At 39.6% G+C, this 15,356-nt stretch overlaps 1 long non-coding RNA gene across 1 annotated transcript in view; it reads left to right on the top strand.

Annotated features, from left to right (window-relative positions):
• C5orf67 (chromosome 5 putative open reading frame 67) overlaps window positions 1-15,356 on the top strand; it is a 94,975-nt gene that overhangs the window by 40,285 nt on the left and 39,334 nt on the right. The window contains exon 2 of the long non-coding RNA NR_161255.1: window positions 9,785-9,831. This is a non-coding gene — a long non-coding RNA (chromosome 5 putative open reading frame 67). The remainder of the gene's footprint in view (window positions 1-9,784; window positions 9,832-15,356) is intronic.

Raw genomic sequence — 15,356 nt, 5'->3', positions numbered from 1 at the left:
AAGAAAAGAGGAGGGTGCAGGGCAGAGTGATCTTGGCAGGAGGAAGTGAAACCCAAGAGAACACACATTTGCAGCACCATCCCTCAGCCACAGAGTCAGAAACGATCATTTTGCTGGCTCTGAGACCTTCCCAACAACTATTACAAGGGCTCCAGGGAGCAGGTCATTGCACAGACCTTCGCTTTCTACAAAGTAGCCTTGGGCGTGCTCCACATAGTTTAAAGCCTAAGCATCAGTTTTTGCACTGTGTTTGTCAAGGAACAAGACCTGAGTGGAAAGATTGCCAGCTCCCACTGAATGCAAGCTGAAATCATGGTGAGAAAAAAAAATGAGAGGAAAGGATTTAGATGTCTAGACCTTTTCCATTTGGAAATGGGGCTTTTCTCTTGCTCAGTCTTTTCATCATAGAGTCAGAACTTCCTGAGCTTTGCAGATTCCCCGCTCAGGCCTCGCTGCTCCTCATTGGTGCTGCAAAGCTCCTAGGAGTCTGCCTGTCGCTCATTTATAGGAAAAGACCTGAGGCCACCCTTGCAGTTCATTACACACTAGCTGTGCTCTCTGGACTTGGGTTTCCCTGCAAGCCCTTTGCACAGCTCCACTCAGCTTTCCATGATTAGAAGTCCTGTTTGCTGCTTACACCCTTTCACTGTTTACAATAAATAGACTGAGGCACTTAAGGCTTCTCATGCTCCATTAGCTATGCGGATTTGACACAAGGATGGGTGAGACTGGTTGCATAGCATGGAGTTGGGTAATAGGAGAAAATGCACCCCTTCTCCTCCCCTGAGATGAAATTTCAGTTGTTCCCACAGTATGTTTTCATTGTACAGTAGATGCAAGAGCTCCAGCTAGTGTGAGAACCGAGCTCAGATAAGAGAAACACAGTGATGGCACGGTTCCTGCAGGGCTCCCATGCTATTTTCTCAGCATTACGGAAACCCAACAATGTCTAAACAGCTGACCTTGTGGTGTGTTGGTAGGTTTGCACAATTCCCAGGGGTCATATTAGCATATGCATTTCAAGGGAGAGATCAAGTCAACTTTGGAAAAAGCAAGACGTCGGTACATTTAAAACTCACCTTCCATCTACATTCTCCCTGAACCACAAGAGAGCAGTTACTAAAGTATCCCTGGGCATAAGGCACGACTGGGTCACAGTGATGCAAGTAGCTCAATTTGCAGTAGCCCATAGAAGCCTTTTTTTTTTTTTAACTGTCATTGGTCTATTTGCTTTTGTATCTCCCAGAATTTGTTTGGAAATAGCCCCTGGATGCTTCACTGTCTTGCATCAGCCTCTTTATTACTCTGGAAAATATTAGTTAGAGTGGCTCAGTTGCTTGTCAGCAGGGAGTAATCATTCCTCATTAGCTGGGGTGGAGTTCCCTGGTGGTCTTTTAAATTTTTTTCCTATTCATGCAATATCCCCACATCTCCCATCTCATGTTGTAATCTCTCTGGTTACATTAAGCTTGTAGACTTTTCCTAAGTTATTGCTTATAAAGAGAGTATTCAGAAATTGTTTATAAAATAGTTTTTAGTGGAATGTCATGCAATTAGCTCTAATTGTCACCTTTCCAAAATTCCAGGAGACTCAAAGGACATTCTGCTAAAATTCTAGAGACCAGAGCCAGGGCAACTCTTCTCTGGAGTGCCAGCACTATTGTCGGCCCCATCACTAAGGCTATTGACCACCACTATTGTGGCTGTCAGCCACCACCAAGATCACTGAGTAGTCTTCTTCTACTCTCTAAGCCACCTATTAGTTGATAAAGTGGACCAAGTCTTAAAACCTTTATAGAGGAGGAGCTCTGTCTGTTTCAATCAATGTTGAATACCTAGTGCTTAGTACAATGCTTGTTACATAGTAGATGCTCAATGAATATGTATCAAATCAATGAGTAGTTCTCTAGTCTGCGGATTGCCTGTTTTTACTACCGATTAATTTGAAACCACCAAACATGTTTGTTTCTTCTCTTGATTATAAGAATGTGATCTTCTAATACTGTCTTCAGGGATCTACAACATAGTGGTTAAAGTATAAGTTCTTCTAACCTATGGTGTTAGCAATCAGCGTAGTGGTTATCCTTAGTTGGGATGGGGTGAGCGGTAACTGAATAGGGTCCTAATGAGGGCTTCTGGGATGCTGGTAATATTCTGGAAATGGTATGGGCAAGTTTACTTTATGAAAAGTAATTAATCTGCACATTTTTGACTTGAACACTGCTGTATATGTGTGCTATTATTCATTAAGATTTTTACAAAATAAGATCTGGAGCTCATTGTCTAGTTTCATATCCTGGCTATCCACTTTCTAGCTGGATGGCCTGAGACAAGTTATTTAACATTTCCTTTCCTCACTTTCTTCATCCGTAAATCAAGAATAATAATATGCCTATGTTATTTGTTTTTTGTGAAAGAAGTATGTTAATCTAGAGTAAGTACTCAAAAAATGTCAGTTTTTATTAGCTATTATTTTTCAGAAGTTGAGATAGTTCAAACCTGATTCATGTAAAGACTTAGAAAATACCATTGACGGTCATTAGAGTACTCATCAGCCTCCAGGAAACACACTCCTAGTTTCTCAAGATCCATGTTCTTCTTAAGGGTCTCTACAAATTTGCTTTTAGTTCTCTTCCAAAGTACACAGACCATAAAGATCAGACAAGGTCTTAAGATCCATTGTAACAATACTGGTTTTCCTAGAGAGGTTCTGTCAAGCACAGAATGCTAGAATCAGAAAAGATCTTAGAAAATACTGTCTGTGCTGTCCCAATATAGTAGCCACTTGTTATATGTGCCTATGTAATCTTACTCTAAATTAGTTAAAAATAAAAATAAAATTAAAAATGCAGTTCCTCAGTTGTATTCATCACACTTTAAGTGCTCAATATATCCCCATGTGGCTAGTGGCTGCCACACCCAACAGTACAGAGACAGAACATTTTCATCACAACAGAAAATCCTATTGGATAGCACTGCTAGATCAACCTGCTCACTCTGTGTATGAAAACATTGAGGTCCAGAAGTCCAGAGAGGTGAAACGATTATACCAAAATCACATAGCTAGTTAAGGAAAGAACTAGACTACAGTTTAGGTGTTTTGATTTCTACTTCAAGATATTTTCCACTTGGTGACAAAGACACCTATGGATCCACAGGCTCTCTCCTGTCGTCATTAGTATGCCACATCTACATTATATATTATCTTGGAGAAATAATTTTGATGGCTCCATATTATCTATACTCTAATACCATTTTACTAACTGGAAACTTCATTTCCATTTCCATTCTAGGGTCCTTTTTTCTCAAAATCAGCAGGCCATTTTGTCACTCACACACATAGGGTAGCCAAGTTAGCCAAGTTGCAGTTAGTTAACAGTAATTGCTAATGTTTATTAAGCATTTACTATGCACCAGTCATCTCCTCTAAGTGATTTATTAGGTTGGTGCCAAAGTGATTGCCACTTTCAGTGGTAAAAACTGCAATCACTTTGGCACCAACCTAATACATTCAACTGATGAATGTGAGGCACAGAAATGTTATGGGGTGTGCTCAAGGAGATGGGGGGTTGGGATTTGAACTCAGTCAGTCTTCTCCAGGGCCCTTGCTCTTATTCACTATGCTATAGTGTGTAGGGCATTACACAAAGTTTGATGAAAGCTAAAGCATGTGAGCAACGAATGGGAATGCAATGTCCTTACTCGAGAAATAAATAATCCAGTTATGGGCCAAGAAGAAAGTAGCAGATCCATGTGGACAATTTATGTGTACATTTTAGTATTTATAATCATACAAATACTTATGAATTTGGCAGTCTGCATCTCTAAACCTACTCTCTTTCTTCTCTTTCTTTCTTTTTGCTAAAAAACAAAACCCAAAAAGCAAAATCCTTTAATAACAAATGCCCTTCAAACGGTTGGTGATTATCCCTAAGTGGTCTACCTTTACATAGGTCTCCTGTCAGGGCCCTGGATTCATCTGGGTATGCTCCTGAGAATCCATTTGTTGACTGGCTAGGGCTGTCGATGAATGGAGGAAGGGGAGTGGAGAGATCACTTAATGCTTTGATTATAGGTCGGAGCCCCGCCAGCAGAGGTTTCTCACTAAGGCCATGGAGTTAAGTGTGTTTGTGACAAGATTTTTGCACAGATTCACTAAGTATAAATAGAGGATGTTTTTAAAAAGTAGATAGATTTAACAGTTGATTTCATGCTTTGGAAGCAATCCTTTTCAGTTTAAAAAAAAAAAATCCTTGCCCACACTTGCTGGTGAAACCACATTGGCACCCAGCTAGCAGCAGTGGTGTTTAAACATGCTGTGGCTGGCACCATTCAAACAACAACAGAAACGGCTTTAGGCTCTCAAAGCCTCCTTACTGTGCTGTGTAGAGTCCCTTCCAAGATTTCAAATAGATGAACGAATAATGTACCAAGTTGCAATTATCACTCTGAATTGGTCCAATCATAAGATGCTATTCTTGAATTATTAGTAGACTATGATTTCTATTATTCATGTTCCATCTGCTTTGGGATTTGAATTTGAGTTTTTGTGCTTAACATCTTCTGCATTTCACAAAAAGCCTCAGCCAAGGGCACTGATAATTTTTATAAGGTGTTCTGGGTCACGAACGAGTGGAATATAGCTTCTGAAGAGGCCACTTCCCTGAACTAGGGAATGTCACAAGGTTAAGTTTACTGCTTAACATAAATCTTACTTTTTTTCTTTTCTGTTTTAGGCTAGACGGTAAATTTTGCTAAGTGTTATAAAAAAAACTGAGGATTAGAATAGACGCTTTATTAACTGATTTCCACTTTACCAACTCACCAGCTTAACTGGTAGTACCCCATGCACAGGGTACTATCTCTCACCTTCCATCTCTCACCTTCTTGCTTGTGGCAAGAAGACTGCTCTCTGGTGGGTTCAGTACTTCAGCTCCCACTGAGTTTTAATTAACGGACCAATTACCCGATCCTGATTGCACTAAAGAAGAGAGCCCCAGCTGTTCTTTTATAAGTTCATAATCTTTTACTCTGAGTTTCATTTACTTGGTCAGGAAGAAATCTGTTGGGTGCAGAAGATGGCACTGACCTAATAAGATCTTAAGCTACCAGGAGATGCAAGACAGGCATTACTTAAGCAGCATGGCTATGGAAGAACCAGCCTAATTGACAGGCTGAACCAATGTGGCACCCAGGAAGATGGTGCTGTGCATCAATTCTAGACAGTAGACAGAGGATGGGAACACAGCATAGGTAGAAAAGATGAGCGTTGCAAGAATCAAGAGATGATGAAATTGAGTATTAAAAGGTAGTCAAGGCAAGTGATTTGGAGCTGGAATATCTGAGTTGGAATGCCATTTGGAAGCAATGTTCCACATAGGAAAGACTAAACAGAGTGAACTAGCACATTGGCAAAAAGGCCCCAGTCAGGCTGCCATTCAGGGCGTGCTGGTCAAGATGCCTCCATTATATGAATAAGTTAGGCCTGAAGTAGCAGGCTGATGGTTTGGGGTTGTTCACTGTTTTTGGATTTAGGCTACGGAAAGTACCATGGTGGGGGTACAGTGTTATAGTCCCACAGATGTTCAGGGGAGAGAGAATCTTGAAGAACATGGAGAACAGGAGTCATTGTTTCCAGAGAAGGAAATAGAGGGCAAGGAAAATGATGATGCAGAGATAAAGGGAATCAAAGTTGGGTCCTTCATCTTTGCTAAGGTTTTAGATTTCATAATAAACCAGGAAGCCCAACACATAACTAATAAATTGCCTCAGGAAGAAAATCTGCATGAGGGTCTTGAAAAGACATAAGTTGAAATTCCATAGATAAGTCCCCAGGAGATAACAGAGCCAGAGGTACCTCTGGAAAGAGCATAAAGGAGACATCAGAAGGAATCTGAACCAGGAGTATTTGCTACCTCTTTAGCTTCTCCAGACGAGATAGGGAGAATTAAAAGATTGGTACTGCATGGTGATTGCAGCTTCCTTATAATCAGTTCCTCATGGTAGAATTACTAACTAGACATAGGGAGGACCATATTAGTTGTATAATTTTGTGATTCCTCATAATTTTGGAAATAGATGACTATGCTAGAAAAATCACTATTGTTTAGAACTAAATATCAAGGGAATGTACAGAAGAAAGGAGTGACACCCATATAAATCCATATTCCCTTCTGATCAAATTCTGCACTAGCCACTACCAAACTGTCAAACCAGTCTCATTTGTATTTCTTTTGCTAAAGTTAAGCATTTGATAATCAAGCTTTATTACAATCACTAGTTTCTCAAGTAAATATTAGGGTATGAATTTCTACCTATATCTGAATTCATTTCTACTTCTAACACAATTCCCTGAATATGAGAAGAGCTGGGTATAATTTTATTGATGATAATTTCACACTAGGGACTCAGGTTCAAACAATGCTTTTTCCCTACTGATATCGGTAATAAAGTGTAATTTAAGTCAGTGACTAGTTTTTTTCTATAGAAATTGGAATAGAATTATTCTTATTTTATTAACTGTTTTTCTTTGAGATATTAATTGGGTTTAAATGGTTTTACTGGAAGTCTAGAAAATATTAAAAGCTCACTTTAGACTTAACCATTAAAAATGTAATTTTAAAATGTTGAAAACCTATGTCTATAAGTGATTCCTGTTCTTTGATAGTTTCTTCTGATAGCACCCAAAACGTTTCTGCAAACTGTGTGCTTCTATGTGCTTATCACCTTATCCCATATCTTATGAAAGGAAAGGGCAACTTATAGAGACTATTAGGGACTCACGTTTTGCCTTCCAGTCCTCATTGAGATAATGGAATTTTTCTGGGGAAGAGAGCCCCATAGGACATCAAGCACTTATCTTTCTCAAGAGAATAGAAAGCAGGACTTCGGGCTTGCAAGGGTAACTCATCATAGAAAAGAGCAGTCTTAACTGCAGTGAGAATGGAAGAAACTGGAGAGAAAGATCAAATAGCCATGGAGGAGAATGGACATGCTTTCCTTGCCCAGATGGAAAGTGTGATAAGGAAAAGCCACAGGTGAAGGAATAAGGCATGGGAGGGGGATCCTGGGCCAGAAGTAAAGCTCATATGAAGCTGTTACAGAGGGTGACACCCATGCTGGTTCCCTGGTGGGATGGGAAGATCTCTGGCCCTCTCTCGTTTAGAGTGATGCTCAAGTATGATTGCTTCTATATGCACAATGCAGGCTCATGCTTGGCTCAGTGGGGCTTTCTGTTCATTAAACCTGCTTCCACAATGCTATTAGCTCCTGGGCTGACTCCAGGAGCGGTGCTTTGGCAAATGAAGCCCCACCTAAAGATAAGGTCTGGAGGAAGGAGAGAGTAGCTTCAGCTTCTATGGCTTGATGGCTTTCTGAGAACTGTGGCCTCATCAAATACTCTACTAAGTTCTTTGGAGTCTTTCACATGACCTTTCTAAGGGCATGATTTTAACTAGACATGAGACTAAAACTAATTGAACTGTTCTAAAGTAATTACTCTGCAGTATCACTAAGGTTTATCTGGCAATTATGTCATTCAGACAACATGGCTGGTGAGCAACTGCTCAGAGTCCTGAGAAACGGAAGAGAGACTGTGCCTTCACAGAGGCTGTTTTATGAGCTCAGACCACCCAGATTCTCAAACGCTCAGAGATTTAAAATATTTAGGGCAGATTTTGACTTAGTGAACCATGTTCAAGCATCACAATCTTACTTGTGTTTATACTGACCAAAGACCTCATTTTACTCCATTTTCCCCCTATTTCCTAAAACGCATCATTAAAATAACAAAATTTGGCTTAGCTTGAAACCAAGGCTAGACCATTAGAATCTGATTTTGAATCAAACTTGAATAAAGCATTTTTAACTTCCACTTAATATAAACATGATGTTTTGCCTCTGCTCAAACTCAGATCTTTCCTTTCTTTCAAAAGTCTTCATGGATTAACTCTCAATAGCCCTATTCACAAATATTCAACACTTGAGCATCTGAGAACACCATGTCCTATGATGCGTATGGATACAAGTTTACTATAAGGCTTCATTACACAAATTTAGATTTGTCTTATTACAATGCAAATTCTTTAAGAGACTGGAGTCTTTCCTTTCCTTTGTGCCTACCCTAAAAATTACTTAATGGGGAAGGAGGGAGCAAGTGAGAAAAGAAGGCAAGTCAGTGTGATACTCTGGGTTTTTGACAGCTATCATCATTCTTCCCCTGCTCCCTAGAAAGATAAAAACCAGCACTCCTGAAACACCTTCATTATTCCCAAGGCTAAAGACTGTCCAGGAACAGAGTGTCAGGGTTTCAAGGTTGGGGGAGAATTGGTTGGAATAGCCTTCTGGTTCCTCCTCACAGAGCCAACCTGTAATTTTTTTAAAAAACTCAAGACTCCATAGTTCCTTTATATGTTTTATAGACTAACATCTTCAGTAGGAACTTTCTTGAACAAAAAGTGTCCAAACGAACCAGGGCTCCAGTCCTGGCTCAGAAACTATTGCCATCTCCACGTTCCAGATAGGAATACAGCAGCAAAAGAAAAAATGACTCAGCAGAACCCTTGTCTTAGTCTCCTTGTTCCTGAAGTGGTGAAACATTAAGTAATGATGATGAGATAGGTTCTCATTCTTATTAAATGAAATCTGAAGAGGATATATGTAAATATTTAGGTAAAGTACATTTTTTAGAACCTAGAAAGATGTCATAAAAATATCATAGAACACTGTAAAAGAAAAATAGTCTCATGAGTGCAGAATACTACAGTTTCCGTGGATTAGACAAAAACATTTCCCTGCATAAAATGATTTTTTTTTTTTTGGCAGAGTCTCGCTCTGTCATCCAGGCTGGAGTGCAGTGGCATGATCTCAGCTTACTGCAACCTCAGACACCCGAGTAGCTGGGATTATAGGCAAGCACCTCCACACCCAGCTAATTTTTGTATTTTTAGTAGACATGGGGTTTCTCCATGTTAGCCAGGCTGGTCTCAAACTCCTGACCTCAAGTGATCCACCTGTAGAGATGGGGTTTCTCCACGTTGGCCAGGCTGGTCTCAAACTCCTGACCTCAAGTGATCCACCTGTCTCGGCCTCCCAAAGTGCTGGGATTACAGGTGTGAGCCACCGCGCCCACAGTTGTTTTTGTCTACATATCTAGACACAAGCAAAAAACACCCCCTCTAAGGGTGTCTGATTTCATTGCTAACTTTTCTGCACTCCCACATCATTTTCCCAGTCCCTTCACCAGCATCCTTAGCACACCTATGTTGAATTACTGTTGCACATGTAGGTCTGTCTCAGCTACAAAATCAGTATTCCTTAAGGGCTAGCATCTCATCTGTGAAAAGTGAGTGTTTACTCACTTCTATAGTCTCAGTAGCAGCTAGTGCAGTCTAACGTATGCACAGTGGATAATGTCAAATTTTACTGAACTAAAGTAATAACTTTCTTGTTAATGCTGTGGCTTATTGGCTAAGGTGGACAGCATGGTCTCCTTCTGATGATGGACAATCAGATTGGCTATTCTAGGCATGTAGGTAGTTGCCATCACTGTATATGAAAAATACCCTATTTGTTGACAACTTCTATAATCCCCTGGGGACAGCTTCAAGTGAATTCTGAAAATTAAGCACACATATTCTTTCACTCATACATTTATTTATCCATTCCCTAAAATAAATGCAGAATCAAAAAGAAGTAATAGTTGTGACTTACCTTTGTGTATTTTTATCATTCAAGCTTACTATTTTCTTTGATCATTTAATCTAAAGTTATTTTTTTTCCATAGGAGTAGTATACTCTGATGAAGAGGATATTTTACAAGCATAGAAAAAGGTAAAAATAGATACTAAAGGAATGATACCGAAGATAAATATTGTTTACAGTGCATTATATTTATTTCCTTCGAGTATCTTTATGTGGACATGCAACGTTTGGATGTTATACATACACATAAACATACACACACAATTTTTACATCCTAATTTTTTTTTCTTTTTTTTTTTTGTGACGGAGTCTTACACTGTCGCACAGGCTGGAGTGCAATAGCGCGATCTTGGCTCACTGCAACCTCCGCCTCCTGGGTTCAAGCGATTCTCCTGCCTCAGCCTCCTGAGTACCTGGGATTACAGGTGTGTGCCACCACGTTCAGCTAATTTTTTGTATTTTTAGTAGAGACGGGGTTTCACTGTGTTGGCCAGGCTGGTCTTGAACTCCCGACCTCATGATCTGTCTGCCTCAGCCTCCCAAAGTGCTGGGATTACAGGCGTGAGCCACCACGCCCAGCCCCTAATCTTTTTACTTCATGTTTCATCAGAAATATTTTTACATGTCATTAAAAATCTTATAAACATCACATTTAGTGCTGACCACTGAAAGTCTGTACCATAATTTGTTAGCTTTCTTCTTTTAGTGGACATTGAGATTGTTTCTAACTTCTGCCTACTATTAATTATGCTGCCAAGAATATCTTTGGGCTTAAAACTTTGTTCAAGTTTTGCTTAATTTCCTAAGATAGGATTCTCAAAAAGTGAAATTGCTGAGTCAAGTTGCCTGAATTTTTTAGGGCTCTTGATATCTACTTCTAAATTGTTTTCCAAAACATATGTCAATTTATATTGTTGTTAAGCAGAATATATTCTAAAACTACCCTCATACTATCATACTTAGAAATTTTTTAAAAATTACACTTGACTCCCATTATGGAACTGTGAAGTTCAATTTCACATGTAGGAACTGTGTCCTGAATTCTTTCAATAAGAGTCAGTCCTGAAGCCCATTAGTTAGCTATTTAGTTAATCAATCTACTTGTTTTCATCCATTATATTGAATTGAAAAGGGAGGAATTTCCATGTTGGTTGACAGGTTCATCAAGTACCCAAGTTTACGAGAAAAGCAATTCTTAGTGAAGATGTGTTTGGCCCACTGTACAGAACTAGGCACATTGTAGGCATGTTTGTTTGTTCCCCTCCGATCATGGTAGAGATGCTGTTAACTCCCAGATTAAAAACACAGAAAAAAAAAATTCTGTTAATAACATCCCACTTTGAGATCCTTGGAAGAACAATCCATCCTTACAAGTAAAGAGTTTTATTTATTGTTGTTTTGATCCAATGAAGTCTTGAAACTATCCCTCCCTCAGGGCATGGAAAAAGGCCTAGAATTTTTTTCACTTACACATTTTTGCCAAAGTAGTAAGTTCATCAAAGGTGAATAACCATTTCCAAGCTCTCTCTGGAGCTTGGAATAACCAATAACTCTCTCTGGAACTCGAGACGTTATTCAAGTTCCTTTTAGAAAGACTTCAGTGTCTAAAAGATGAGGGTGACGGACCAGCTGAATATTTAGCTTCTTCCTAACTATAGTAATATTCTGGGTCTTTGAAATTTTTCTGCAAGAGGGAGTTTCTGGAGGTTTAAGATTTGAGATTTAGATATGTGATTTTTGAGAGAACAAAGCAACCCAATTCTGGAAGACTCTTTGTTTAACTGCATCTTGACCTTCAAGAAAAACCTGAGCTCTGAGCTGGGACCAAGTGTTAAAATAGGCAGAAGAACTAGACTATCTTCTCTGGAGTTAGAAAGGTGAATTCATCTCCTGAATCTAGTTGGAGATGGAGGATAGCCATGCCAAAACTAAATGACAAGACAAGACATCATGTGGTCAATGGCAGTTTGAATAGGACTGCAAAACCACCAACATTTATTTCTATGCAATGTAGAGGCAGCTAAGAATACTTTCAGGGTGCATAGAAGGGGCTCAGTGTCAATGGTTTCAACAGGGTCATTGAACAAAAATCAGCCTTTGATACTCAAAATGTCAGTTGGAGAAAAGAGCACACTCTGGGATACCTGGCGACAGAACCAAATCTGAAAATCTGATGGCTTCTGACAGTGTGTACACAGACAACTTCACCAAGGCACTCTTTTGAAACTTGAAAGAGAATGGACTTCTGGCAATTAAAGACAGTGCTGCTTTATCTATGAAACTCCCTATTTCTGAGATGCAACAGGGCAAAATTACTAGAATCAAAACAGGACAATAAAAGCATGGGCTATTCTAGGGAGGAATGAAGACATTGTGGTTTACAGCTTCTCCTTTGAGAATGATGTCTTTAGGGTCATCCTGCACTGCCTCCCTTTTCAAGCCCCACTCTTCCCCACCTGTGTTCTTTGTCCCTTTGAGGGACAAAGCATTAAAAACTGAGCACTAATAAAGATGAACAATGTGATCCAAAAGGATATACTCTTGTTTTCAAAACTCTAAGCAAAAGGCCTCACACATAGTAAGTGCCTAACATTGATGTAATCTGGGGAAGAAAAACACAAGGAAGGTCATCTATCATGGCTGAGATTCACCATACAACAAAAGTACTTATCAAAAATGAACATAGGTACAAGCTTCTGCAAGAACTTAAAGTCTACTATTTAAAGAGTTTAGTCTCAGATCCAAAATAATCAGACTTCTCTTGAAGTTATGAAAATTCCATTAGCTAAAAGAACCACCTCCTTCCATTCAAGATATAGCTCTTTCTTATCCACCAAAGGACACCACTGTGGAAGGAGAACATGATTTGCACAAACTGACTTTTCACTGCATGATTCTGAGTGGACCCCAGAAAGATTTGATGGGTGAGTATGCTGTAATTGGATATCAAGACATGAAGTTTACAAGTGAAGATTGATTCAAGGTCAATGCCAGCTTTACTGGGTGTGTTGTGGATCTTGCAACATGAATGGATTCATGCTGCAAAGTTTGACAGCTGTGGTGCCAGAAGACAAACAAAATTACAAGATCATTCATGAAAGCTGACCTTGCTGGAAAAACAGGAGAACATGTGGCTGGCCAAGATCTTTCAAGATCAGGCAGGTACTGACAATGGCTTCACCTTGGAGGTTCTAAGATCCCCATCCCAAGTCACAGCAGCCTGCCACAGTCACAGCAGCAGCTTGTGCCAGCCAACTCTGTGGCTGTAGGCTTGGCTTGCAGGTGCTCCAGGCCCAGTTCACCAGAAGGCTGATGGTTCAAGTCACCACACTCCTGAGAAAAAAACACCATTAAGGAGAGTGAGGACCTACTATTAGTCCAATTCTCAAGAGAGGGGAATGTTGGCCATGAACTAGCTTAAGAAATATGTTAGCTAATAGAAGGACATTTTTTAGAGTAAGACTCACAAAGGATTGGCACAGGTTACCAAGGAAGGCTATTCTGGGACAATCTGAAATAGATTTAAATTGGACAGAACTTCATAATGAAAAGATTCAAGTATTTGAAGCTTAAGGAAAGAAATCTTTCTTTTCTTCTGAATAATCTATACAGCTCTTGCTTTTTCAGGTCCATGAAGTTATTAATTTCAGATTTTCACATGAGTAACTCGTATGAAACTCATGGTCCTCTTTTTTTCTTTTCTTGCTATCAAGCTGTAAAGAAGACTAATTATATGTGTGTTGGCATCATAAATGTCTTTTTCTGATTAATATGAGAAGGCTGGAATTTGAAAACTATTAATTTCACTCTAGATTTGTTTATATGAAAATGGGAGGGCTCTAATTTATCAAAATTTGATTCTTAGGTTTTCTTGGTAGCTTACTGCATCCTTAGAGTTGCTAATAAAGCCAAGGTCATGTAATCACAGCCACCTGTTTGAAATTTCAGTGACCAGTTGAATGGCCTTTGACCTGACTTTCCATGTGCGGGGAAAATCATGGCCCTAAGAGAGTCAGACTGGACCAACTTGTGGAGCTTCCTTGACAAGCCTGCACTAGGCTTCCGGGTCTACACTGTGCTTACCACCCCGCCCTTGGTCAGCATCTTGACTCTTCCCAGCACTGCACATTAGTGTGTAGTCTCTTCCCTTACTCACTTCGTAAAGGGACAGCCTAGGTAAGTCAACAGAGCAGAGGACTGGGAGCCAGGAACCAGGGCTCAAGTTCTCGCCCTGGCACTAGTTGATCGTGTAACCATGAGCCAATCAATTCTTGACTTGCTCTCTTCGTTCACTTGCCTGTGAAATCAGGAGGCTTGACTGCATCATTTCCAAGGATTTTTCAAGTGTAAATTTTCTTCAACCCATGATTTCAAGTTTGTCTGTATTGGTGGATTGTAGCCTGCTTCCTCCCTCTTCCCAGCCCTTTCACTATTGTAGAACTGACTTAACCTCACAGAGGAATTGCAGGAGCAGCAATAAAGAAGGTGGAGGATCTGCTAGGGGTTTTTCTAGGTGTGCTAAAGTGACTGGACATTTAGATGTCGAATCAATACAAATATCTATCACCTAGCTCAGAGGCTGGGAGGGCTGCTCTACATTTTCATGGTCATGCCTCTTGCTGTCATTTTGTGACTTCTTTTCCTTTTCTTTTCTGCCCTGAATGATGAATCTAATGTGATTCCACATGGATAAAAAGTTGAGGGAAGGCCAAGTTCACAGCAGGATATTAACCAGGCCTCGAACCCTTCCCAGGGATGACACATATTTCTGCTGAGGCTTGTGGGACAGTGCAAGAAGTATTATGTATGACTCTATTCTCAGGGGCTTACAGTTGAGTTGGGGCGATAAGACAGGTGCACGTGTAAGTTTTACCTTCATGTTTTACATAAAATTGTAAATCATAATGTCTGGCTTTTTCAGGTTGATTTTGTTTTTAATGTATAGTAACCTTGGGGAGACCCTGCTGCTCCTCAATTAGATTTATTCCAGAGGTGGCTCAGAAGAAATCAGTAAGGACTAGTGTGGATTATAAGGGTAGTATAGATGCTGACTTTCAGTTCTTTAGCTTTTCTTCTGAAAAAAAAAAAAAAACCCAACTTCCTTCATTCATCAAATATTGGCGCATACTACACACCAGGTTTTTCTTTTTTCTTTTCTTTCTTTCTTTTTTTTTTTTACAATAAGGCATTGAATACGTCGGGTAATTTATTGAATACCATACTGAAAGTGAAAAACAGAATTGTTGTATGAGTACTCAAAGTAGTTTTTACTTAACGTGTATTGCTTTTGCGCCATTCTAATGTTAATTTTTCTTTTCTTTTTTTTTTAACTTTTTGGGCGATTTTTAAAATTTTTTTTATTTCCATGGGTTATTTGGAAACAGGTGGTGCCAGGTTTTTCTTTTTAAGGCCTGAGATATAAAATCTTTACAGCCAGACACAAACCTGGGTTCAAAACTGACCATTCTCATGGTCTATGTGGACTTGGGCAAGTTACTTATGTTCCTAAGCCTTAGGTGTCATCTCTTCACAGTGAGGGGAATAGCAGTGCCTTCCTTAAACGTCGTGAATATTAAATGAGATAAATACATATATGCTTGGTACTTGGAAAGCATTTACTAAAAGGGCTATTGTTAAGAAGTGTGTCCTTGCCT

This window comes from Homo sapiens, chromosome 5, assembly GCF_000001405.40.
Source record: "Homo sapiens chromosome 5, GRCh38.p14 Primary Assembly".
Classification (NCBI taxonomy): domain Eukaryota; kingdom Metazoa; phylum Chordata; class Mammalia; order Primates; family Hominidae; genus Homo; species Homo sapiens.
The sequence above is the reverse complement of the archived record's forward strand: the minus strand, read 5'-3'. Positions and strand labels throughout refer to the sequence as shown.